The 26974-nt window shown below is 47.6% G+C and overlaps 1 protein-coding gene and 1 long non-coding RNA gene across 8 annotated transcripts in view, besides 2 other annotated features; one reads left to right on the forward strand and one right to left on the reverse strand.

The window, feature by feature from the left end:
* Positions 1–26974, forward strand: part of MCF2L (MCF.2 cell line derived transforming sequence like) — a 205408-nt gene that overhangs the window by 28222 nt on the left and 150212 nt on the right. The window lies entirely within an intron of this gene.
* LOC124903214 (uncharacterized) lies at positions 302–8796 on the reverse strand. Of its 2 annotated transcripts, XR_007063878.1 has the most exons (3): positions 8504–8785; positions 6649–7392; positions 302–5730 (listed from the first exon to the last, which is right to left on the reverse strand). It is a non-coding gene; the product is annotated as an uncharacterized LOC124903214 (long non-coding RNA). The 2 variants fall into 2 exon arrangements; XR_007063877.1 differs by having other exon boundaries at positions 302–7392; positions 8504–8796.
* Positions 6785–7627: an enhancer, noted in NCBI's record as "H3K4me1 hESC enhancer chr13:113583655-113584497 (GRCh37/hg19 assembly coordinates)". NCBI's record gives its function as "activates a minimal SCP1, AML or CMV promoter by ChIP-STARR-seq in primed H9 embryonic stem cells {active_cell/tissue: H9 hESC(primed)}" and the evidence as "EXISTENCE:reporter gene assay evidence [ECO:0000049][PMID:30033119]".
* Positions 20956–21135: a silencer, noted in NCBI's record as "silent region_5536". NCBI's record gives its function as "represses an Ori minimal core promoter by ATAC-STARR-seq in GM12878 lymphoblastoid cells {active_cell/tissue: GM12878}" and the evidence as "EXISTENCE:reporter gene assay evidence [ECO:0000049][PMID:35858748]".

The raw sequence follows: 26974 nt of genomic DNA on the forward strand, positions 1-26974 counted from the left end.
GCGCAGTGGCTCACGCCTGTAATCCTAGCACTTTGGGAGACCGAGGCGGGCAGATTGCCTGAGCTCAGGAGTTCAAGACCAGCCTGGGCTAAACGGTGAAACCCTGTCTCTACTAAAACACAGAAGAAATTAGCCAGGCGTGGTGGCACGTGCCTGTAGTCCCAACTACTTGGGAGGCTGAGGCAGGAGAATTGCTTGAACCTGGGAGGCGGAGGTTGCAGTGAGCTGAGATCGTGCCACTGCACTCCAGCGTGGGCGACAGAGCAAGACTCCATCTCTACAAACAAACAAACAAAAACCATCGTGACAATTAGGGGTTTATTCAAGGAATGCAAAGATGGTTAACATTAGAATCCATTAATGCATAGAGAGAAATCATGTAAGTTTCATAGATGTGGAAAAAGCACTCGACAAATGCGGTGCCTCTTTATGTTAAAAGAAATCCAGTCATAGGAATTGGTGGATACTTTTTTCTGTAACCTTTATTTTAACAATTTCAGATGTACAGAACAATGGCAAGGGTAGCACAAAGAATTCTCGTATATAAGACACTCAGATTCCTCAATATTATGTTTCACCATGTTTGCTTTCTTCTCTCATGTGTGCATATTACACAAATATACATTATTATTTTCTAGGTGTCAGAGAGTACGTGACAGACAGGCTACCCTTTTATCTCCATGAACTTCAGTGTTTGCTTCTTTTTTTTTTTTTTTTTTTTTTTTGAGACGGAGTCTTGCTCTGTCACCCAGGCTGGAGTACAGTGGCAAGATCTCGGCTCACTGCAAGCTCCGCCTCCTGGGTTGACGCCATTCTCCTGCCTCAGCCTCCCGAGTAGCTGGGACTACAGGCGCCCGCCACCACGCCTGGCTAATTTTTTTGTATTTTTAATAGAGATGGGGTTTCACCGTGTTAGCCAGGATGGTCTCAATCTCCTGACCTGGTGATCTACCTGCCTCGGCCTCCCAAAGTGCTGGGATTACAGGTGTGAGCCACCGCACCTGGCCAGTGTTTACTTCTTAACAAATATATTTGTTTGCTTATAAAACTAGAGTATAATTCTCCAAATTGTTTGTTTTTTGCCATTACTTTGAATGGCAAAACCCACAATTACCTTTGCAGCAACCTAATAGGTAATTAACTTCAACACACTCTTCTCTAATCACTGCTGTTTTGTATGTAGATCCAGAGTCTATGAGTTGTCCCCCTAAATGTCCTTTAAAGCAAAAGAAAATTCAGGAGCATGAGAATTTGGAGCAGGAGCTGCATTCAGTTGTCCTGTGTTTTATCTTTCTTTACTCTGGAGCAGCCCCTTAGTATTTCTTTGTTTCATGACACCGCCACTTTGGAGAGGGCAGGCCAGTTATGTTGTAGAACATTCCTAAATTGGGGTTTGTCTAATGTTTATTGCTAAATCCAGGAGATGCATTTTTGGCCCAGAAATGCTGATGTGTCCTTCCCAGAGCGTCCTATCAGGAAGCATACGAGACCGGTTTATCCCGTTACTGGTGGTGTTAAATTTGACGACATGGTTAAGAAGGGAGAGCTTCTGTAACATGACCTAAAAATACGCACACACATTATCCCCAAAGCCAGCATCCTACTCAGCAGGAAATGCTGGAAGCTCTCCCACTGAAGCCAAGAACAGAGTGAAGCTCCCCACAACCCCCCCACGATGTGTCGTCGTTAGAGTGCCCCCACACGCAGCTGGGCTACAGAGACAGCACAGACACGGGAGTTTACCTTTTCCTTTTCATTATCTCTATTTTCAATTTCTCCGTATGCAGTTGTTACATTTCTGGAAAACCCAAAATAATCATTGGATAAAATGCTACAAAAAAATAAGGGAATTAATAAATTTTATACCCTGCTGCTTAACATGTAGAAATCATAGGTAGGAACAAAAACCAAGGAGAAGATCTAATGGGAGAGATAATATTTATAGTAGCAAAAATAAAGTACCTCTGTTTTTAGCATTCTCGTTTAATAAATGCTGATACGAGGAAAACTATAAAATACTCCTGAGACACAGAAGACTTGAACACATGGAAAAGGTATATGATAGCTTTAGATAGGGAAGCTCCACATGACAAAGACATCAGTTCTCCCTGAATTAATGCATACACTTAAGGAGCCCCAATAAACACATCATCTTTTTCTTTCTCAGGGTGCTAGACAAGTTGATCATAAAACCCACTTAGAGAAACAAACATGAACACCTGAGAAAACCCTGGAGAGTATCAGAGGGGAATGGGCTGCCCAGACGTTAAAATTTTCTATACAGCCTCTTTAATGAAAATGGTGTGGATCCTGGCATAAGAACAAGGACAGGTGAATGGAACAGAATAAAAATCCAGAAGCAAATCAGGCTGCCTGGGGAAGATCCATGTAGCTCAAGGCAGCATGTAAATTTCGTGCTGGAAAAGATGACCTTGGTTATCAATGGTGTTGGGATAACTGGATAGCCTCATGGAAAAAGATGAAAGTCAGGTCTTCTTCACACCTTTCACCTGGATAAGTACCAGATGGACCTGTGATTTAAATGTAAAAAGTAATCCAATAGGCATATCCAATAAGCATATGAGAATGTGGTTGGCATCATGATTCAAGGGCAAAATGTACATTAAAACCACAATAGGGTACCATTCTTCGTCCACCAGAGTGGCTAAAATTAAAGACTGGCTATTCCAAGTGGTTGGTGCAGAAGTGGGATACCAGTGCTCACATTTCCTGGTGGGAAGGCATATTGCTATGACCACTTTGGAAAACATGGACAGGGTCTAAAGCTAAGCATGTGCCTGCCCTCCGATTCCACCCTAACTGTGCACCCAAAAGGAAGGAGTACTTCTGTACGTGTACGTATGTGGACGTTCACAGCAGCTTGATGCCCAGGAGCCCCACGCTGGACACCCTAACCTCTAGGAGCCTTAAGAGAAAACGGGTTAAATAAAGGGCATCATATTCATACCCCACAAAGCTACACGAGAAGAAATAAACCACTACAACATGCCTGCAGTTCACACATCAATCTCAAGATCAGGCAAAACTAGCTTCTCTGGTAGTGGTCATAGTATTAATGGCTGCTACCTCTTGGGAAATATTGGTTGGGAAGGGGCCAGGAAGCCTCCTGGGGTACTAGAAATGTTCTTTAGCTGACCTGGGCAGTGGTCACTGGGTACATACATACGTTTGATGTGATAAACTGCTCCGTGCATGTTCCTATATCTAGTAAAGGAATCTTAACATAAAGCAAAACCACACAAGAAAGCATTGCGTTGATTACATTAAACGTATTTTAAACTTTGCATGAGAAGAAAACAAGAAGCAAAGTGAAAAGTCCTGTGACAGACTGGAAAAAATATTGGCAATTATCAAAATGAAAGGTTGCTATTTAATATATGGTTTCTAAAGTAAAGAATAGCATAATTTTTATCCCTATAGAAAAAAAAATCTAGAGATATCAACCAGTAGTTCACAGAAAAAGAAATCCATCACAGTAGCCAAGATATGGGATCGGTCACAGATGAGGGGATAAACAGAACATGGTCCGTATCCACAGCAGAGGGCTGTACAGCCTGGTCTGTTTGCACAGCGGAGTGCGGTACGGCCTGCTCTATATACACAGCGGAGTGCAGTATGGCCTGGTCTATATGCACAGTGGAGTACTGTACGGCCTAATCTATATACACAGCGGAGTGCACTATGGCCTGGTCTATATACACAGCGGAGTGCTGCATGGCCTGGTCTACGTACACAGCGGAGTGCAGTACGGCCTGGTCTACATACACAACGGAGTGCTGCACGGCCTGGTCTACATACACAGTGGAGTGCAGTACGGCCTGGTCTACATATACAGCGGAGTGCAGTACGGCCTGGTTTCTATACACAGCGGAGTACTGTACGGCCTGGTCTATATACACAGCGGAGTGCTGCACGGCCTGGTCTACATGCACAGCGGAGTACTGTACGGCCTGGTCTACATGCACAGGGGGGTGCTGTGCCACCTGGTCGATATGCACAGCAGAGTGCTGTGTGGCTTCATCTATATACACACAGTGGAGTGCTGTATAGCCTTGGAAAAGGATGAAACCGTATCATTTGTGACAACATATATGAACCCAAAGGACATTCTGTTAAGTGAAATAAGCCAGGCACAAAAAGACAAATCCTGCATGTTCTCACTTACATGTGTACTCGCAGAAAGGGGAACTCATAGGAGCAGAGTGGCGGTCGCCTGGGGCAGGGGGCGGGGTGGGATGTGCTGGGAAGATGTTGGTCAGGGATTATTGTACAGTATGGTGACTATAATGAATTTCTGAAATTGCTAAGAGTAGATTTAAGTGTTCCCACCACTAAGAAATAAGCATATGAGTTAAGACATGTGCTAATTAGCTCGATTTAGCCTTTCCACTGTGCATACATACTTCAGACCATCATGTAGTGTGCTATAAATACAGTTTTTGTCAATTTAAAAGAAAAAAGATGCTAAATCACACTTACAGAGAAATATGAATTAAAAGCACACTGGCATACTGCCTCTTGCTAATCAGAAGTTTAGCTGGAGAAGTGGGGAGGGCTGAACTCTCCCGTGGCATGGCTGCGGCAAATGGCATGACCTCATCATGTGAACTTGGCAGTATCTAGCGAGGTCATAGACACGTTTGCCCTTTGACCAGCAATTCCACTTCTAGGAATCTGTCCCAAAAGTACTCTGGCAGAAATAGAGTTATTTGCAATTTTTTAATAGTCTTCTAGTCTTGATGTTGAACTGGAAGCATCTGTATAAGTCCAGTGTCTTTTATCGTAAAATACATGGTTTCTAGACCTGTCCATGGAAAAAACTGAACACAGAGAGCCCAGTTGTGGTCTCCTCATGTCATTCCCACTGAGAAGATCTGGAGGTCTTTGGATAAATGACCGGGTCTGGGGAAAAATGTTTCCAACGAGCCTACAACATCTTGTTCTACCAGCAAGTGCAAGACTAAAAGGTAATGAATGACTCTTTATAAAACATCAACACAATACAGTCAATTCCACAGCCTCTGATCAGGAAGCTGCTGGCATCACAGAAGGCGAGTTGGACATTAGCACCTCCCTTGGTGAACTGCTCTTGCCAAAAAAGTAAAAGTAAAAGCTGAACCAGAATCTGACCAGGCACCTAGATGTAACTGTCAATTTATAGGAAATACCGGGGACAGAGGCACATGATAAACACCTCCAAGGGGGCGTAATCGACAAAACCCACCTCATGTGAAGCTCTACATGACAAATGACCTGGTTTCTCCAACAACAACAACAAAAATACAAAGAAAAGAGAATCAGCAAGAAAACCTGTCTATCAAAAGAGACTCAGGAAATAGCAGCCAATTGCAGGCTATGGACTGGATAAGATTTTGATCCTAGTTCAAACAAAATGTGTCTAGAAAACACAGAGAAAAATAACAGGAGAAACGTTAACACTGGCTAGATATTTAATTCTGAATAATTATTAATTGTATTGTGGCTGTGGAATTGATTGTATTGTGTTTATGTGTATAAAAAGTCATTACCTTTTAGGAATGTTTACTGAACTCTGCACGTGTTAACAGTTCTGTGCTGTCTGGGGTTTGCCTTGGATTGATGGTGGTGGGCAGCCGTTGCTGGGGATGCGGGTGAAACGCGGCCGGCCGTGCACCAACGTTGTTGCAGTCATTGCACCGTTTCTGATGTTTTTGCACTCGTTTGAAATTTCTATGATTTAAAGAAAACTTTTTATAATGTAAGTTGCATGGCAGACACTGCCCTACCTGCTTGATTCCTCAGTCTTCTAAGCACTGCTGTGGTCTTTTTTCCTCACAGTCATAATTAATTCTCTGCGTGAATGTGCCTCGTTATAATCCTTGGAAATGTGCACAGAGCCTATTTCTGTCTAGCCATGCCAGCCGTTACTGTACTTGCAAAGATGCTATCTAAATGGAAAGGAACTATGTCCATATCTTTCAAATAAATATGGTGCTTTTTTCCTCCCTTCACCCCCAAAAAAGTCATGATGACTGTCTACTCCTAGTATTTGTTTTATAGGAGCATTGGCATCGCTAGTGTCTGTGAATAGCTGGAGTGTGCACTCTGAAACTTTACTTTGCCTGTTGTATGGGACACACACAGGACTAAGAGACACATGTAAAACGCATGTGGTCTTGGCACGGGGAAAGGACCATATGTTTTTTAAAAACAGTCTCCAGCAGCTCTGACGCTTCCCTGCAGGGGAGAGGGATGTGCGTGCTCCTCAGACCCTCCTTGAGAGGACTTCCCGGCCGAGGGCCTTTTCTGGCCACATACATGGATGGAGGTCTGCGCCTCCTCCCAGCTGACAGTCTGTGGCATCTGCAGTGGGGCTGTCTGTGGCTGGCACCTGTGGACACAGAACCAGGAGACACAAGCCAGCCTTTACTGGAGCATGTTAGAGCCAGGACGTGCCTCTCACCTGAGCTACTCAGCGTGCAGATGACAAACAGAGGTTCAGAGTCCTCCTGGCTGTGTCTTCTGGGGCCTCCCAGCGGGGAGGGAGTGGCACTCGGTGTTTCCACATCCCTTTCTCCTGCCTGCACAGGGAGCTCCAGCTGTTGGCTCATTTTGCCTTTTCCTGCCATGGAGAAATCAGGGACTTACCTGATCAGTTTTATATTGGTTCCATAAATGGCCACTGGGTCTCCCTCTTCAAAGGGGTGTTTGCTCTTTATTCCTGGATTCGTGGTTGTCCTTAATGTGAATCTCTTTCCCCGATTCCTGCGCGGCTGCAGCAACGCTGCGGTTTGTTCAACTTCGTGGCTGCAGGACGCTGTCAGCAGTTTGGTCTTCTTGGCACACTGCCACTTATAGGCCAGGAAATGGGATAAAGCCATTTATCTTTTATCGGGATGGGAGCCTGCCCTTTCCGCCTTCTCTTAAATGCATTAGTAAAACCACTTGGGAAAAACAACAGGGAGTTCATTTGAAACTCATTTCCAGGTTAACTCTTCACACTCCTGATGAAATCTGTGAAGTGCATGGAGTCTGCCCCTGCCCTCAGGCCCCTCCACAGCAGGTGTCAGAATCACCAGGTGGGTGGAGCTCCAGACCCTGGCCCCTTACCGCTGGCCACAGCATCCTGAGCACCCTGCCCAGAACCTCCGGCCTCGGGTTCCTCTTCTGCAGAAAGCAGATGATGACGCCTGCATCACGGACTGCATGGTCGGGATGGCGGAGTGACCACAGGCTCGGGAAGTGACTTGGGACGGTCACTGTGGCTGAGTTAGCAGTTGGCTGCTTGTTGTTTTCTTCCGTTTGTGGCGATCCTTTCTTTCCCAGATGACCCCTGTTTTGTGACGTTCATTCTTCCCATTTGTCATTGAAAGCCGTTGCTGGGATAACGCTCTAATAAAAACCAGTGCCAGAAAAGATGCTCAGAATCATTTGTCATTAGAGAGTTACATATGCCCCTACACACCTGTTAGAGCATCGGCTTCCACAAAACCTCACAACGCCTGGTACTGGCGAGGACACAGGGCATGGGGAGCTCTCGTTCACTGGGATGGAGCGGAGGGAGTGGGGAAGACAGTATGGCCGTTACTTCCAAAGCTAAATGCACTCTTACCATACAGTCCAGTGATCTTGCTTCTTGGTGTTTACCCAAACTAGTTGAAAACATGTCCATACAAAAACCTGCACATAAGTGTTTATAGGAGCTTTATTCACAAGCACTAAAACCTGGAAGCAACCAGTATGTCATTCAGTAGATGAATAAACAAACTGTGGTCCATGCAGATGATGGAATATTACTCAGCAGTGAAAAGAAATGGGCTAAGTCATGAAGAGACATAGAGGAAACTTAGATGCTTATTGCCAAGAGGAAGAAGCCAATCTGAAAAGGCCACAGACTGTATGATTCCAACTCTGTGATATTCTGGAAAAGGCAAAACTATGGAGACAGTGACAAAATCCATAGTTGCTGAGAGGAGAGAGGGGTGAGTAGGTGGAGCTCTGGGGATTTTAGGGCAGTGAAACTACTGTATATGATATCATGTATTTGTCAAAACCCATACAGATGCACAGCACAGAGTAAATCTTAATACCTGCAAATTTAAAAATTATTTAGGACATGCCTATAATCCCAGCACTGTGGGAGGCTGAGGAGGGCAGATCACTTGAGGTCAGGAGTTCGAGACCAGCCTGGCCAACATGGTGAAGCCCCATCTCTACTAAAAATACAAAAATTAGCCAGGCATGGTGGAGCGTGCCTGTAATCCCAGCTACTCAGGAGGCTGAGGCAAGAGAATTGCTTGAACCCAGGAGGCAGGGGTTGGAGTGAGCCAAGATCACGCCATTGCACTCCAGCCTGGGTGACAGAGTGAGACTCCGTCTCAAATAAATAAATAAATAGTAAAAATCATTTCGGAGGTCAGAGGGGTCCCCGGAAGGAATGCAGGAACCAGGAGACACAAGCCAGCTTTACTGGAGCGTGTTAGAGCCAGGACGCGCCTCTCACCTGAGCGGTTCAGCGTGCAGATGACAAACAGAGGTTCAGAGTCCTGGCTGTGTCTTCTGGGGCCTCCCAGTGGGGAGGGAGTGGCACTCTGTGTTTCCACATCCCTTTCTCCTGCCTGCACAGGAGGCAGAGAGCCAACCTGTGCTGAAGATGCATGAAACCGCCTCACGGAAGAAGAGGAACAGGGTGCTGACCTGCGTGACTCTGGGCAGGAGTGGGGTCTGTGAGACTAGAGGCAAAAGAAGCCACACAAACGCCCCAGGCTCCACTTAATTACGTCGTTTCCCGTAGATACAGGTCGGCAGTGCTGACGCTGCTCTGCCGGAAGCTGAAACTGAGCGATTAGGTGAGCAGCTGTCTGCGGATGGGAGCTGCTTTCTCACTGTTCCAGGAGAGGCTACACCCGTGTTGTAACAGAGCAGGTGTGCGGCGTCAGTGTGAACTGACGCTTAGCTTAGTGCAGATACAGGTGGCGACATACAGAAATACTGTGCACATCCCATAGCACACGCCTGCCTCTCCTCACCTTGACAGCTGAGAGGGCCTGGAAGCAGCAGCAGCCAGTGTCCACGAGCGTCCCCAGTGGCCAGATCTTGGTTTCTAATTCCATTCTTCAGTAAAAGCAACTGGGCTTCTTAGAGAAACCGCAGATTCCAGGATGGAGGCAGGAAGTATGCAAGATGAGACTGGATCATCTTACAGTGACAGAAAGGGAGGAACAAAACAAACAAAACAAAACCCAAACCCACGTGGATGGGGGCAGGCCAGAGGGACGCAGGAACCACCGAACACTCCCCATGACCAAAGCAGAACAATTTGAGCAGCAAAGTCAAGTCGCGTTGTATTATAACCCCAAGAACAAGATGAAGAAGCGTGGGTCCACACTGACGTAAATGATTGAATAGATATTAATACATGACTGGAGACAAGAGATAAGTCTCCCTTGCAGAAGAATTCCCCATCCTTCATGTAGATGAGTTGTTGTCACGAGGGGAGCTCAGAACCCTACTTCCTGAGTGTGGGATGTGCGCAGCTATGTGGTTCCGAAGAGTTCAAGACGAAAAGAGGGAGAAAGAGTAACTTCCCAGCAGAGGACCTGACGACCTGAGCCAGGCAATCGAGGTCAGCACCGATGGCGACCAGGCGTGTAGACTCGTGCCCTGGGTAAGGCGTGACCGGGATGGCACTTTACCTCTGTAGTCCTCCTCCCCAAGCACATCCTCCCCACTCCAATCATGAGAAGGACGTCAGAGTTCCAACAGAGGCTTCCAGTATACCTGACCAGTAGCCCTCAAAACTGTCAAAGTCATCAAAAATAAGGGAGCTCTGAGAAGCTGTCACAGCCAAGAGGAGCTGAAGGAGACAGGATGACTGAATCCTAGAACAGAAGAATATATTAGGCAAAAACTGTGGAAACCTGAATAAACTGTGCATAGTTAATAATAATGTACCAATATTGGCTCATTAATTGCAACAAAGGCACCATAAGCTTAAGATATGAATATTGGAGGACACTGGGGGAGGGGTGTGTGGGAGCCCTGTTCTATGTCAGTTTTGCTGTAAATCTAAAGCTGTTCTAAACAAAGCTAAACAAAGTTACTTAAAAAAGAAGCATCTCAGTACCGTCAGTGGGCCTGTGTGGCCCCTCATAGGTATCTGTATTTTAGCAAAAGAGAAATAAACGACTTTGGCTGGGTGCGGTGGCTGGCACCTGTAATCCCAGCACTTTGGGAGGTCAACGCGGGTGGATCATCTGAGGTCAGGAGTTGAAGACCAGCCTGGCCAACATGGTGAAACCCCGTCTCTACTAAAAATACAAAAATTAGCCTGGTGTGGTGACACACACCTGTAATCCCAGCTACCCAGGAGGCTGAGACAGGAGAATTGCTTGAACGCAGGAGGTGGAGATTTTAGTGAGGCAAGATTGTGCCACTGCCCCCCAACCTGGGTGACAGAGCAAGGCTCCATCTCAAAATAAATAAATAAATAAATAAATAAACATGAAGGAAGGAAGGAGAAAAGAAAGAAACGAACTTAACCACAAGCTGAGGAGCAGGAGTGCTGGGCCGACAGCCTTCTGGGAGACCCACAGCCTCCTGGAGGTCCGGGCGCTGGCCCCGCAGGGGTTGGCTCCAGTTGTGTGTCTGATCCAATGGGACTTTCAGAGACGCCCAGGCTGCCGTCTCCTTGGGCTCTGTGTGCAGAGAGGTCTGTGTGGTTGGAATTTCGGAGGTTCCTCTGCCAGTTGTTCCTCCCACCAGGAGCTCCGTGGAAGCTGTGCTCCAGGAATACTGAGGTGTGTTCTGTCACCAGCCCTGCATCTGCTCTCCCAGCCCTGGCTCTAGCAAGAGGCTTGATGGCCCCGTGGGTCAGGACCAACCAGGTCCAGCCTCGTGCTGCCCGCCTTCCAAACCTGAGTGCTGGGACCGTGCGCTGATGGAGGAGAACAGGAGAGGCCCCAGGACAGCCCTGGCCCTGCTGCAGATTCAGAAAGTGGGGGATTGGGTCTGGGATTTCGGTATTTTTCTTTTAGTCTGTGAGCAGGTGTTTTTATTATTTCAGCACAAATATTTCTAGTAGTGCACAAAGATGGAATATGTTGATGTTAACTCTTCATCCTCATGACAACCCTGTGAGGTGTGCCCGAGTCTTATTAACCCATTTCATAGCAGAAATCATGACGCAGCTGGCCCTTGGCCATCGGTCAGCGAAGAGCAGGCAGGAGAACCCAAGGCTGTGTCCCTGACGGCTCTGCCCTGCAGCCCCTGTGGCAGGCCGAGGATACATTTCTTAACAGATGCCTGCAGGAGGAAAGGCCGCTCAGCTGGCATGGCCTGGGCTTCTGTTGGGCAGTCTGTGTCCAGTGCTGATGCCATCTGCAGGTACTGACCTCCTCCTGAGCTCTGCCCACTAGTAAATAGAAATCAAAATTCTCATTTTGCTCATTTCATAAAACTTCATCCAGCCTTTTGCCCATTCATTTATTTGCTCACTGGGTTCCTGGCTTTAAAGGTATAAGGAAACCATGTTTTAACCCTATTTCCCACCAGGGGCCAGGATCTGGCCATTCACTTGTGCATCCACCTCCCTGGCAGGGACCCTGGCGGCAGATGCATGGAAGCCCCCTGCTTGCCACAGGAATGTGACTGTCACCATATGCAGCATGCCCCTGAGGGCCCCAGCAGCCTGCAGGGCACACGTCCTTCCCACTGTAGCAACAGGAAGCATGGTCCACAGCGGGGAGGCTCAGCGCTGTCTCTAGAGGGACCTGCCCTGAGCCAGGCATGTGGTCTGCACATCTTTATCCAGTGCCTGTCACGGGATTGCCACGGGGCCAGAGAAGGGGCCAGCAGGGTGAGCTAGAACAGTGCCTTAAACTGCACTGTGCCTCAGGACCCTCAAGGCTTGTGCAACTCAGACCCCTGGGCCCCACATCCAGAGTCTCTGATTCAAGAGGTCTGATGTGGGCTCCAAGAGTGTGCAGATTTCCAGGGGATGCTGCTGCTGCTGCTGCTGCTGCTGGTCTGGAGACCCCACTTTGAGAACCACTGGTTGGGACCTCAAGTCTGTCTCTGGCTGTGCTGCCCGTTCTCAGCCGCCCAGTTGCAGGCAGATGCTGTCACTGTGACTTGGGGTAAGAGGTCACGTGTGCTGGGGCTGTGTGCCGGGGCGGCCCTTCCACAGGCAGGTGGAAGGTTGGAGGCCACTGAGCACTGCCTGGCACTGCTGGCCTCCTGGAGATGTTCAGACACCCCACATTACAAATAGGCCAGCCTTTCCCCTGGGCGCCCCCGCCACTCCCTGCAATGCTTGGGCCAGAGACACTAATGGAGTCATTCGAGGCTTGACTTTGCTTCCTGGTCCTGGACACGTTAGTGTTCATGTTCCCCAACAAATAAATACTTTAGAAAATGTGATAAGATCACATTACAAGATTGAAATCCAGCAAGGTGGTTGAATTGTGTCCCCTTAAAATTTGTATGTTGAAGCCCTAAACCCCAGTACCTCAAACTGTGTTAGGGGCACTGCCAATGTATGTAATCACAGATGGCCCTCAACTTACAGTGGTTGGATTTAATTTTTTGACATTATGATGGTTCAAAAGCAATGTACATTCACTAGAAACCATACCTCACATACCCATACGGCCATTCTGCTTTGCACTTTCAGTACAGTATTCAATAAATTACATGAGATATTCCATACTTTTTTTTTGAGATGGAGTCTCGCTCTTGTCACCCAGGCTGAAGTGCGGTGGCACGATCTCAGCTCACTGCAGCCTCCGCCTCCCGGGTTCCAGCGATTCTCCTGCCTCAGCCTCCTGGGTAGCTGGGATTACAGGCACGTGTCACCATGCCTGGCTAATTTTGTATTTTTAGTAGAGATGGGATTTCACCATGTTGGCCAGGCTGGTCTCGAACTCCTGACCTCAGGTGATCCACCTGTCTCGGCCTCCCAAAATGCTGGGAATACAGGCGTGAGCCACCACACCCGACCCCATACTTCATTTTAAGGTAGGCTTTCTGTGAGATGATTTTGCCCAACCGTAGCCTCACGTGAGTGTTCTGAGTGAGTTGAGATAGCTGGGCTGAGCTGTGATGTTTGGTAGGTCGAGTGTATTCAGTGCATTTTCTACTTATGATACTTTCAGCGTACACTGGGTTTATCGGACATAACCCCATCATACATTGAGGAGAATCTGTAGTTAAGATGAAGTCATGCAGGAGTGGGGGTTGCCTAGGCCAATATGACTAGTATCCTTATAGAAAGAGGAAATCTGGACACAGACACAGGGAAAAGGCCGTGTGATGATGGAGGCCAAGATGGGGTTGATGCGGCCACAAGCAAAGGAGCACCAGGGATCAGGAGCAGCTAGCAGAAGCTGGGAGAGGCCTGGAACCGATCCTTCCCTCGCAGCCTCAGAAGGACCCAGCCCTTGGCTGGGCATGTTGGCTCTTGCCTGTAATCCCAGCACATTGGGAGGCCGAGGTGGGTGGATCACCTGAGGTCAGGAGTTCAAGACCAGCCTGGCCAACATAGTGAAACCCCGTCTCTACTAAAAATACAAAAATTAGCTGGGTACAGGGGCATGCACCTGTAATTCCAGCTACTTGAGAGGCTGAGGCAGGAGAATCACTTGAACCCGGGAGGCAGAGGTTTCAGTGAGCCAAGATCGTGCCACTGCACTCCAGCCTGGGCAACAGAGTGAGACTCTGTCTCAAAAAAAAAAAAAAAAAAAAAAAAGACCCAGTCCTGCCAACACCTTGACCTTGGACTTCCAGCCTCCAGAGCAGACAGAATAAATTTACTATATTTTTATGCCACCCAATCTATGGTGCTTTGGTTCTGCAGCCCAGGAAGTAAACACAGTTTTCCTAATCACCCTCTGCCGTCTAATGCAGTTAATGAGCTTTGGGTGAAAGGCTTTGATCTAATGCTGGTTATTTGGGAAAAGGTGTTTTTGGGGAAGAAGAGAAGGAGGTGACAAGGGGTGTGATTTATTCACTGGCAGCAGAAAATTCAGGGATGTCTTAGCAAGTTTATTTACCTAGAACTGCTGGTAAAAGATCTTTCCCTAATCTGGAAATAATCTGAAATGTTTTACAGTATGCTCCCAAACATTTATAATTCAGATTATATTAGGAAATTGTTTCCTAGGACATGTCTTTTCATAACAATGGAGTGTAGATACCATCATCTCTCTGATGTAAAATGGTATAGAATTTGCATATAACCTACGTGCATTCCCTCGTAGACTTTAAATCAGCTCCAGGTTCCTTATAATACCTAATACAATGTAAATGCCGTGAAATAGTTTTTACACTGTATTGTTTGAGACATAATCATGAGAAAAAGTCTGTCTATGCTCAGTACAGATGCAACAGAATATTTCAATGTGCAGTATATTGAATCTACAGATCCAAACCTCACAGATATGACTGTTCTCAGTCACTGTAAAGTACAATAATTTTACTTAAAATGATTACATATTTTATTTTTTTATTTATTTTTGAGATAGAGTCTCGCTTTGTCCCCCAGGCTGGAGTACAGTGGCTCGATCATGGCTCACTGCAACCTCTGCCTCCTGGGCTCAAGCTGTTCTCCTGCCTCAGCCTCCCGAGTAGCTGCGATTATAGGCACCTGCCACCACGCCCAGCTAATTTTTTGTATTTTTAGTAGAGATGGGTTTTCACCATATTGGCCAGGCTGATCTCGAACTCCTAACCTCAAGTGATCTGCCCACCTCAGCCTCCCAAAGTGCTGGGATGATTACATATATTTTTTAAACTCCAGGTTTGAAATTATAGTATGGTGGACGTTATCTTCATTTCAGAAAAAATTTAGAACATTTTCTTAATATATTGTTTATAAGCCTTAGGTAAAGCTGATGGTAAATTATTTTATGAACAAAAGTTCTTTGAAAAGGAGTTTGGAGGAAAGAGACTTTATTCCAGTGAACAGTTTACAAACCTGGAAGCTGCAGCCTTTGGTGTGAAAGAAAGTATATTCCAGAGAACTCAGGGAGGGTTTGGGTTTTATAGTGATGGGTCCTGCCCAGGTCCCATTCAGGTCAATTTATGCACATGAAGGATTCAAATTTGGTTAGTTCTGATTGGTTGATACAGCTAAGCCCTGATTGGGTGATGCAGCTGAGCCCTGATTAGCCAAGGTAGGTGAGCACTGATGTGCTGGTTCAGGTGAGCTCTGAGGGGTTGGTTCAGGTGAGCACTGATAAGTTGGTTCAGGTGTGCTCTGAGTGGTTGGTTCAGGTGAGCTCTGAGGTGTTGGTTCAGGTGAACTGTGATTGGTTGGTTCAGGTGAGTTCTGATGTGCTGGTTCAGGTGAGCTCTGATTGGTTGGTTCATTCAGGTGATCTCTGAGTGGTTGGTTTATTCAGGTGATCTCTGAGTGGTTGGTTCAGGTGAGCGCTAATTGGTTGGTTCAAGTGAGTGCTGATGGATTGGTTCAGGTGAGCCCTGATGGGCTGGTTCAGGTAAGCGCTGAGTGGCTGGTTCAGGTGAGCTTTGATTGGTTGATTGGTTCAGGTGAGCGCTGAGGGGTTGGTTCAGGTGAGCGCTGAGGGGTTGGTTCAGGTGAGCGCTGAGGGGTTGGTTCAGGTGAGCGCTGAGGGGTTGGTTCAGGTGAGCGCTGAGGGGTTGGTTCAGGTGAGCGCTGAGGGGTTGGTTCAGGTGAGCGCTGATGGGTTGGTTCAGGTGAGCGCTGATGGGTTGGTTCAGGTGAGCTCTGAGTGGTTGATTCAGGTGAGCTCTGAGTGGTTGGTTCAGGTGAGCCCTGAAAGTCCAGAAGTTGACTGGAGGTGCGAGTTCTGGGGGCTCAAGGCATGTGGCTTATTGTCAGTAAGTGGCCTCTTGGGGCTGTTTTAAACATAGGCCCAGTTGGGCACTCCGGGTGGGCTCTTTCGGGTCCACATTTGTTCACAATTTGTTTCATTGTGAAATGAAGGAATTGCAGGAATATGACTGCGGCAGCATTGACGGCAGATTTGGGACCTGAAACTGGGGTGTTAAGAGAAGACGCTTTTTCTTTTGTTTTGTTTTTTAAACCAAAATGATCAATTTGAAAATTGAACACATTTTTGGCCTCAGTTTTATCATGCTCATGTCAACTATTTAATATAAAAGACCTGCCTTTTGGGTAGCCTGTGTAACAATCAAAGTTTTGGCGCTACCAGGGCAAGGTTCTGGGGAGCACACATTCACTAACCCAGCTCCCACAACCACCGAGGCAGACGCTGTGGCCAGGCAGGAGAGCTGGGGCAACTTGGAGGGCAACAGGGCCAGCGCAGGGGGTGGGAGGTCTTGGGTTGGAGGCAGAGACCTCCTGCCTTGCCACGCGGGGGCCAGGCAGGTTCTTCCAGCTTTGGAGTGAACCAGACATGTGGGCTGAGTTCTCAGGGCTGTGTGACAGCTGCCCCAAGTCCCTCTTGCACGAGGACAGGAAGAGCTATGAATATGTAAATAACATGAAATATAAGCAGTGTAGCTTTTTAAGAAAGGAAAATTATTCACACAGAAGAAAGAAAAATGTCACGTTTGGGTTTCAATTTCCAGATACAACTGATGGTTCACTTTCATCTGTGACACTTCACAGAACGACACATAAAGAATTTTGTTTTATAGTCTGAGCAAAGGAAGGTCAAAAGGTCTCCTTGGCATCTGAGGGCCTCCGGCAGGTTTCTCAGCCTCCACGTCGTGGACATCTGGGGCTGGGTGGCTCTTGGTTTTGGGTCCCCAACCTGTGCAGTGTGAGGTCTCAGCAGCATCCCTGGACCCTACCCACTCCATGCCAGGACTTTTCCTCAGTGGCAACACCAAAATTGTCTCCAGAAATTGCCCAGTGCATGCCCCCACTGCTCCCACACCAGGGGACAAAGTTGTCTCTTGGTTATCAACCTCTGGTCTCTAATAAGAGAAATAAAAATCCAACCACAAACATACTCTCCAGGGATGTCTTGTATTGCTGGATGTGTGGACCCCATGTCTGCCTGGCTGTCAGTCACCTGAAGATCCACTGATGCTAACTCTGTACCTGGACACTTTGGGTTAAATGGAAAGCGTCCTATGGGTGTGCAGCAGAGGGAGAGACACTCTTCTTAGTATCAAAAGTGCTAGGCAAGCCGGATGCAGTGGCTCACGCCTGTAATCCCAGCACTTTGGGAGGCTGAGGTGGGAAGATCACCAGAGGTCAGGAGTTCGAGACCAGCCGGGCCAACATGATGAAACCTCATCTCTATGCAAAAAATTAGCTGGGCATGTTGGCATGCCTGTAATCCCAGCTACGTGGGAGGCTGAGGCAGGAGATCACTTGAACTGAGGAGGTAGAGGTTGCAGTGAGCTGAGATGGTGCCACTGCATTCCAGCCTGGAAGACATAGTGAGACTCCATCTCAAAAAAAAAAAAAAGTTCTAGGCAGGTGCAGAGCGGGCTTACAGGGGATGCTTGCAGCTGGGGGTGGTGATTGGGTCAGAGGCCTTCTTCAGGGCAGTTTATCAAGTTTTTATACAACGGGGGGTGGGGGCATCCATATCATTAAGTCGGTCCCTCTATAATGTTGAGGTGCGTCAGTTTCCTTACGCAAGAATTTCATTTCTCATTGTTTTCATAATAAATATTTTGTCCTTAAAAACATCTTGATACTTTTTCATGTAAATCTGTGTTTTATGATAAGTAATTTGTAACTGGTTTATTTGGACACCGCCAGAAACTCTAGTTGTTCATTTCACTGTCTCATCTGTCTGGAGACAGGGAGTTTCATGAATGCATCTCCAGTGCCAGCACGGGGAAGGTGCCCAGGCTTTGAATGGAACTGAATGCAGAATTCCGGGGGCGCCAGGCAAGCCAGATGGCCTTGTGGGCAGTCACTTCCCGTGGTCGGGTGGGGCGGGGAAGGCCCTGAGGCGCTGCCGGCTGTGTACCGCCTGGCCCAGCTCCCTACCCGCTGCCTATGTGGGTCACCTCTCAGTGGGTTTCAGGGACACGGCAAAATAGACAACTTCCATTTTGACTTTGAAACCTCGTGTGCCAACACTTGAATATGAATCTTTTCGTAAATGTACGTGTACATTTCAATCAGTTTTTGCAGTTAGAATATATTGTTTTGCAGTCAATCTTCTGTATAGCTTTATGTGTATTATTATAAACATAAATATAGCTACAAAAATGGCATAATGTATTCACTGTGCACATATTTGTATATGTATGCCAAATATCAATGGTTCATTTCATGAGCACTTAAAAAAAAATCACATCTTCATGGGCTTGCTCTGTAGTTACTTAGCTACCTACGCAGACCCCAGCATTTGGGTGGCATGTGATTTAGAAGGCAGCCAGCACCTTTCTTTGCTCTGGGGTCATGATCGCTGAGCCCACCCTCCTCCTTGTACAGTCCTGGAAGAGGACTGCCTGGGAGCATGAAGCCCAGAGTGAGTGAATCAGACACATGGGCTCTGGATGTGAAATCCACCTAGCAGCCCCGCTGCATCTGGCACCACCATAGGGAGCATATTTTTACCATCTTTTCCGCAGGGTCAGAGTGGCCATCGTGCTTATCACATAAAAATGTAACCTACAAAAATTCAGGTCATCAGCCCGTAATGCCACCTTGTTTTATCTTGGTGCTATCTTGGTTTGCTTTAGAAACATAGTTCCTGGGATGTGTCCTGTTCACAAAGCCCAGGGTACAGGTCTGTGTGGTGTGTGTGGTGGCACTCTGGAAGCCCATAAGCCATATATATATATTTCATATTATATATTATATATAATTCAAATAGAAATTATATCAAAATATATATATTTGAATATATTATATAATTTCTATTTGAAATAAAATTCCTTGTACATTTCCTTTAGGTGTAAAAGGAAAATAACTTACAGTAAAATGTAAATCTATTAGTATTGAGCACACTGTGTGTGGAGCATCCTGAGTCAACACAGGTGTAGGCGGGCGCAGGTGTGGATGTCAGGTGATCGAGTTCACAAACAGCCTTGATGTTGTCATGGAGTTTTCTGAAATTGCAAAACCTCTGGATAAAGTTCCTAAAACCATGGTCCACTGTGGGCGGCAAGCCACCCAGGTGCCGAGGCAAGAGACCAAGGGCACGAGCTGTTCCAGTATAATAAAATATATAAAATAAGAATAGTTATACTAGATATCGATCTTAGATGTGATTATATATGAATATCAATCATTAGTTTGTAGCAATTACTCTTTATTCCAATATTATAATAATCCTTGCTCTACAATCATAACCTAGGAAAAACCAGGCCATACAGAGATAGGAACTGAGGGGACATAGTGAGAAGTGATCAGAAGACAAGAGTGCGAGCCTTCTATTATGCACAGACAGGGCCACCAGAGGGCTCTTTGGTCTAGCGGTAACGCCAGCATCTGGGAAGACGCCCGTTGCCAAGCGGACCATGGTCTAGCGGTAGCGTCAGTGTCAAGGAAAAACACCCACTACTTAGCAGACCGGGAAAGGGAGTCTCCTTTTCCCTGGGGGGATTTTAGAGAAGACTCTACTCCTCCACCTCTTGTGGAGGGTCTGTCAGGCCCACCCGCAGTTATCTGGAGGCCTAACCGTCTCCCTGTGATGCTGTGCTTCAGTGGTCACGCTTCATGTTCCATCCTGTACACCTGGCTTTCCCTTTTAGATAGCAGTAGCAAATTAGTGAAAGTACTAAAAGTCTCTGATAAGCAGAAATAATGGCGTAAGCTGTCTCTCTCTCTCCTCTCTCTGCCTCGGCTGCCAGGCAGGGAAGGGCCCCCTGTCTGGTAGACATGTGACCCACATGACCTTACCTATCATTGGAGATGGCTCACACTCCTTACCCTGTCCCTTTGTCTTGTATCCAATAAATATCAGTGCAGCCTGGCATTCGGGGCCACTACCAGTCTCCGTGTCTTGGTGGTAGTGGTCCCCCAGGCCCAGCTGTCTTTTCTTTTATCTCTTTGTCTTGTGTCTTTATTTCTACACTCTCTCGTCTCCACACACGGGGAGAAAACCCACTGACCCTGTGGGGCTGGACCCTACAGTCCACCTGTCTGATTTACACAATAATTTATTCTAAGAAAATCTAGTCTAGTTTTAAATTAGTAAAAAAACTCTGTCTAGTTACGTGTAAAACGAAGTGAATGAGTTCAGATGCAGGTAACCAAGTTTTGCCTGCAGGAATGTGCAGCGGGTGCAGGCAGGGACATCTCTTGATGTGGTTCTGCTCCCCTATTGTGGGTGACTTAACATTCTCTCCACCCACCTGGTAGGCGTGGCCATGTCCTACTAAGTCCTTCTCCGCACCATCCCCACATGCCAGCAGAGGGTGCTGTTGGGCAGGAAAGGTGGGACAGCACCCTCGTGAGCTGCTGTTCCATTTTTCCTTCTGTATTTAGGATTGACATGTGTCCAAAGGATATGGTGTGTGAAGATAATGGGGACATTTTGGAATGCCATTTGGAAGAAATGGAAATGCAGAGCCAGGAAGGCGCTCAGAGAGGCCTGAGAGATTTCTAGCAAAAACCTGGTAAACTTTGAGGTGAAGGCTGTCAGAAACAGCTGCGAGGAGCATCCAGCCTAGGGCTCAGCAGGTGTGACTTAAAGGATCGCAGGTGACAGCCCTCAGTGGACTTCTGTCCTCACCATGTTTCCCACTGGCACAGGTGGGGCGGCCACGCCTGTGCCCGCGGCGCCTGTGCTGAGTCCCGACGCTGTGCGCCCCACTCCCGAGGCTGTGGTTGGGGGGTCGCGGTCGAGCTCTAGGGCCCCCGGCCGCAGAGCCCAGGCGCGGGGAGGGCGGCGGCTCCCAGCTCCCGGTCCCCGGCTCCGCGCCGCAGGCGTGAACGCCCAACGGAGGGCGCCGGCGCCCGGGAGAGGCGCCGCCTTGGTTGCAGGGGCCGGGGCGCGGCGGCCCGGGCTTTGAGAGACGGGCCGCTCTTCCCGGCGCGGTGCCTTCCAGGGAGGCTGCGCCTGCAGCACCGCAGCCAGAGCCGAGACTCCGCGCCTTTCAAGGAGGAGGCCCCGTGCAGGCGCCCAGGCGCAGAGGAGGCGCGGGGGGCGGGACCTGCCGGCCAGTCCCTTACCCGGGGACAGACGGGGAAGGCGGGAGCGCTCGCAGTTCCCTCCTGGAGGGACCACACCGCCGGGAGCCCGAGCAGCCTGCGGTGGCTCGGCTCGGGCCGGCGGAGATCTGGGAGCATTTTCTGGAAGCCTCCACAGACTTCAGGCGGACCGGAAGGACCTGGCGGGAGGCGTAGTAGGCGGGGTGAGGGGATCTCGGTGGCAGCGGGGACAGCGCGGCCCCGAGAACTGAGAACTGAGAGGGAGACGCTCTCGGGCCTCTCAGACCAGCATTGAGGAGCTGAGCCCTGCGGGCCAGGGGCGCAGAGAGGGTCCCGGGCCGTGAGGGGAGGGTCCCGGGTGAGGGGAGGGTCCCGGGCCTTGAGGGGAGGGGAGGATCCTAGGCCGTGAGGGGAGGGTCCCTGGCTGTGGGGGGAGCGTCTTGGCTGAGGGAAGGGTTCCGGACCATGAGGGAAGGGTCCCGGGCCGTGAGGGGAGGGGAAGATCCTAGGCCGTGAAGGGAGGGTCCTGGACTATGAAGGGAGGCTCCTGGGCTGTGAGGGGAGAGTCCCGGGCCGTGAGAGGAGGGTCCTGGGCTGTGAGGGGAGGGTCCCGGGCCATGAAGGGAGGGTCCCGGGTGAAGAGCAAGCTCATGACCCTCATTTACTGGGAATCCATTGCTCTGGCCCCGTCATGAGTGGGGTTCGCAGACTGGGCCAATCCCTACAGCGTATGTGTGCTCTGGTGTCTCGGGGCAGCACAGACGTTGTTACTGCTCCATCTGGCCTGGGTGAACACCTGGGTCTCTCTGTGGAGTTGGGGGATGCCGCCTGCTCAAGGGTCGCGTTCCTAGTATGCGTTCCAGGAATGCTATGCACCACCAGTGCTAAGCCGCAGAAGAGCTGTCAATCTGTCAGTCCTGTCCCGCTAAACCTGAACTTTTTTTTTTTTTTTTTTTTGAGACGGAGTCTCGCTCTGTCGCCCAGGCTGGAGTGCAGTGGCGCAACCTCGGCTCACGGCTAATTTTTTGTATTTTTAGTAGAGATGGGGTTTCACTGTGTTAGCCAGGATGGTCTCGATCTCCTGACCTCGTGATCCGCCCGCCTCGGCCTCCCAAAGTGCTGGGATTACAGGCGTGAGCCACCGCGCCCGGCCAAACCTGAACTTCTGAAAGAGCCAGCCTCTTAGGGAAGGCCCTCCACCCTACTTGCCTGGGCTTTCTCTGCAAGCTCTGTGCAGAAGGGAGCAAGGTCTGCCTGATGCCACCACCGTGGGCCCAGTGTTCATGGTGTCCTAATGGAAGCTTTGAAATCACTTTGTGTTAGTCCTGGCTCTTAAGAAAATCGATGCAATGCCAATTAGGCACCACTATTTTTTTTTTTTTTTTGTATAAAACATTTGAGGAAGATGGTGCAGGGTGGGCCCTGAAGGGAGTGGGGTCCTGCCTGGAGCTGCTGTTTAGGCTCAGTCTTGGTGCTCTATATACATATCTACCATTGCAGTGTCATACAGAATGTTCCATTGCCTTTTTGATTTTAAAAAGTGTTTATCACACAGGGGAGTTTTAGGGCAGTGCAACTATTCTGCATGATCCATGACATTATGCACTTCTCAAGACCTAAAACTGCATAACAGGAAGCATGAACCCTCAAGTAAACGATATGCTTTAGTTAGTAATGATGTATCAAATTGTAATGTATGGGCCACCAATGCAAGAAGTTATAATAACTGTGGAAGGAAGTGGGGCAGAGGGGGAGTATACGAGGACTCCCTGTACTTTCTGCCCAATTTTTCTGTAAAACCCAAAACTGCTCTAAAATATAAAGTCTATTAATGTTTTTTAAAGTGCTTATTATATAAAGAAATGATTTTGATTCACTATCTTTGGGATCTTTTTTTATGAGATTTGTTTAAAGTAGTCACTGCTTTGCAGTGATGGCACCATTCTTCTGGGATGCCTTTTTGACCTTGAGCAGCAGTTCCTGCCCTGCTGAGCAGGAAGACACAGTGAGTGGGAGACAAGCCTGGATGCTCACATGGCCTCATGCCCTGGTCTGCGAAATGGGATGGCATCTTGCATCATGGCGGTTCTGTCTAGTGGGAGAATGATAAAGTGTGCCTGGCACAGTCTGTACCTTCAGTAAGTGTGGTTGTCAAAAGCAATAATTGGGTTGGCACTGACATTCATCATAGATGTACAAAAGTAACATGTAGATGGTGAATTGATGAGGAGGGGCCCATGGAGAGATGGGTTTGTGCCGTGTACTTTATTCTTCTAATTTTCTTATTCTCTTTGGGACTGTCCCTGTGGCTTCCATGTGGCTTCAGACAGGTGAGGAGCTGCTGCGTGTTCAGACCGGAAACCTGAGCTCATCAGCACGCCAGCCCGGGCTCTTCTGGGGTATCATGTTTTGAGAATATTTGTCTTTGAAATTTTAAACTCTCTTCCATTTGTATTTGTTGAAATTCTAGAGCTTTTGATAACTCATGCTAAAATTTTTAAATCACTTTTCACTTTATCATCTTTTTATTTGAAATGTCAAAATTTATGTAGGAAGCATCATTTTGCCACCCTGCCAAAGTATTCTGACTAAAACTATCCAAGATCCTCCAAGAAATACATATGACTAAAGATAATGTTTCTCCCTTTCTGATAAAAAAAAAAAAACTATAGTAACTTTAATCCCTAAATAAATAAAACACATGTGGTTGTGACCCACATGAGATAATCAGTAGCTAGATACCTTGTGGTAAACGTATTGCTTTGTTTAATTTTTAAAACCTATATTGAAGTACATGCCTTACTATAGGAAATTAAACATTGTACAAATGGGCTGGAAGTGGGAACTACAAAGACAAGTCAGGGTTGTATTCCAGAGGGCTCAGAGGGACTTAGAGTTCTGTGTCTGCTGATCCAGCCCCCTTGAGATTTTGCTGTGATGAAAATGGGTGTCACAGATGAGGTTTCCTCAAGGTCATTGTTTTCCTCTTAGGTGGTGAAACTGACACCTAACACTCCTTGTTGTCTTAGGACTTCCTTTTGAATGAATTCAGATACAGAACCTGAATAAAGGGTGTATTTAGGACTCGTAGTCAGAAGAGGCACTGTGAGGATGCGTATCCCGTGGCTTTACTTTAGAAACTAACCCACAAAAGACTTCATCCCAGGAAGGTGGAACAGACATACTTTTTCTTGCTCTTCCCAAGAGTAAAACAAAGAACCCTGGACTCAATGTAGGAAGCACACACAGGACAACTCTGAGGGGGGGAGGAGGAGGCAGAATAGTCACGGGCCTGAGGACCCAGGGAGCAGTGGCAGGGTGAGTTCCCAGGGTTTCTTTTGGTCTCGTGCGTCCTAAACGCAGGGCTTGTCTACTGTGGTGTGTTTGTGCTCCTATAACAAAACATCACAGACTGGGTAATTTATTAAAACCAGAAATTTATTTCCTCATGGTTCCCAAGGCTGGGAAGTCCAAGATCAAGGAGCCAGCATCACAGGGTGAAAGGCAGGAGGGCCAGTGAAGCCTCTGTTAGGGAGGAGCCCTTGTCCTAACCACCTACCAAAGACCCCGCCTGTTCACAGCATTGGCTATTAGGTTTCAACGTGTGATTTTTGAGGGGACACATACAAACCATAGCATTCCACCCCCAGCTCCCCAAAATGCATGTTCTTTTCACATGCAAAATACATTTATTCCATCTCAATACCCCAAAAGTCTTAGCTCATTCCAACACCAACTCAAAAATCTAAATTCCAGAGTCTCCTCTAAATAAGGTGTGACTGAGACTCAAGGAACGATTCATCTGATGCAAGTTCCTCTCCAACCGTGGGCCTGTGAAATCGCACAAGTTCTGTGCTTCCACAGTACAATGGTGGGACAGGCATAGGACAGACATTTCCCTTCCAAAAGGAAAAATAGGCAAGAGGGAGTAACGGGCCCCAAGTAAGTCCAAAACTCAACAAGGCAAACAACATTAAATCTTAAGGCTGCAGAATCATCTTCGACTCCATGCCCCACCTTCTGGACACCCTGGGGTGGGGTTGGGCACCCCAGGTCTCAGGCAGCCCTGCCCCCAGGGGTTGCTGGGCTCAGTTCACCTCAGCAGTTCTCCCAGGCTGGGGCTACACACTGGTGGCTCAGTAGGTCTGGAGTCTCAGGGGTGGCCCTACCTCCGCAGCTACACTAGGCATTGCCCTGGTGGAGACTCTCTGTGGTGGCTCTGTCCCTACAACAAGTCTCTGCCTGGGCACCCAGGCTATCCACAGCATACTTTGAAGTCTGGGTGGAGGAGAAAGCCATGCCCCCACAGCTCTTGCACTCTGTGTGCCTGCAGAATTAGCACCACGTGGACTCTGCCAAGGATGACTGCTTGCATCCTCTGGACACCTGAGCCATAGCTGTGTGACCAAGGAGTGCTGTGCCAGAATGTGGAGAATAGAGACCTCAGATGGCTGTGGGCAGTGAGGTTGCATGGGTGTCCTGGGCTTCTCTCCCTAAACTATTCTGTGCTGTGATGGGCATGGCAACCCTGAAGATCTCCGAAATGCCCTTGGGGCCGTTAGTCCATAATCTTTATGAATAACACCAGGCTTCCTTCAATCCATACTAATCTTATGAAAGTAGGCCACACTGTTGGTTTTCTTCCCTAAATACTCTTTGTTGTTCTTTACATGGCCAAGCTGAGAATTTTTAAATCTTTATATTCTGCTTCCCTTTTAATTATAAATTTTGTCCTTAAATAATTTTCTGTTCTCAAATTTTACCATAAGCAGTTAAGGAAAACTATTCTGAATACTTTGCTGCTTAGAGATTTCTTCTGCCAAATTATCTTAGTTCATCACTCTTAAGCTCTGCCTTCCACAAAGTCCTAGGACATGGACACAATTCAGTCAAGTTTTTTGCCACTTTGTAACAAAGAAAATGAAAATACAGCATATCAAAATTTATGGAACACATCTAAAGCAGTACTGAGAGGGGAATTTTTAGCACTAAAATGCATGCAATAGAAAATAGGAAAAGTCTCAAATCAATCTCAGCTTCTACCTCAAGAACTTCTTGTCTACCTCTCTAGAAAATGAAGAGCAAAATAAACCCAAAGAAAAGCAGAAGGAAGGAAATAACTGAAATCAATGAAATAAAACACAGAAAAGTGGCTGGGCATGGTCACTCATGCCTGTAATCTCAGCACTTTGGGAGGCCAAGGTGGGTGGATCACCTGAGGCCAGGAGTTCGAGACCAGCCTGACCAATATGGTGAAACCCCGTCTCTACTAAAAATACAAAAATTAGCCAGGCGTGGTGGCATGCACCTGTAGTCCCAGCTACTCATGAGGCACAGGAGAATTGCCTGAACCTGGGAAGCGGAGGTTGCAGTGGGCCGAGATTGTGCTACTGCACTCCCACCTGGGTGAAAGAGCAAGACTCCCCAGAGGTATCACTACAGACTCTGCAGATATCAAAAGGATAATAAGGGAAAAAACTGCAAACAACTGTATACACATTAATTTGATAACTTAGACAAATTGGACTACTTTCTTAAAAAGCACAAACTACCACAACTCACCCAACAGGAAGTAGATCATTGAATAGCCCTATAGCTATTAAATACATTGAATTCATAATTTCAATAAAGAAACATTCAGGCCCAGATGGTTTTTCTAAAGAATTCTACCAAACATTTAAAAAATTAGCACCAATTCTACACAATCTTTTCCAAAAAATAGAGGAGGAGGCAATACTTCTCAGTCATCTCATGAAGCCAGTATTACATTGATACCAAAACCAGACAAAAACAAGAAAGAAAGCTAGTGACCAGTATCCCTCATGAATATAACACACAAGCCCATAACAAGATATTGGTAAATATATTAAGCAATAGATAAAGAGAATTATCCACCAT

Source organism: Homo sapiens, chromosome 13, assembly GCF_000001405.40.
Source record: "Homo sapiens chromosome 13, GRCh38.p14 Primary Assembly".
In the NCBI taxonomy this organism is placed as follows: domain Eukaryota; kingdom Metazoa; phylum Chordata; class Mammalia; order Primates; family Hominidae; genus Homo; species Homo sapiens.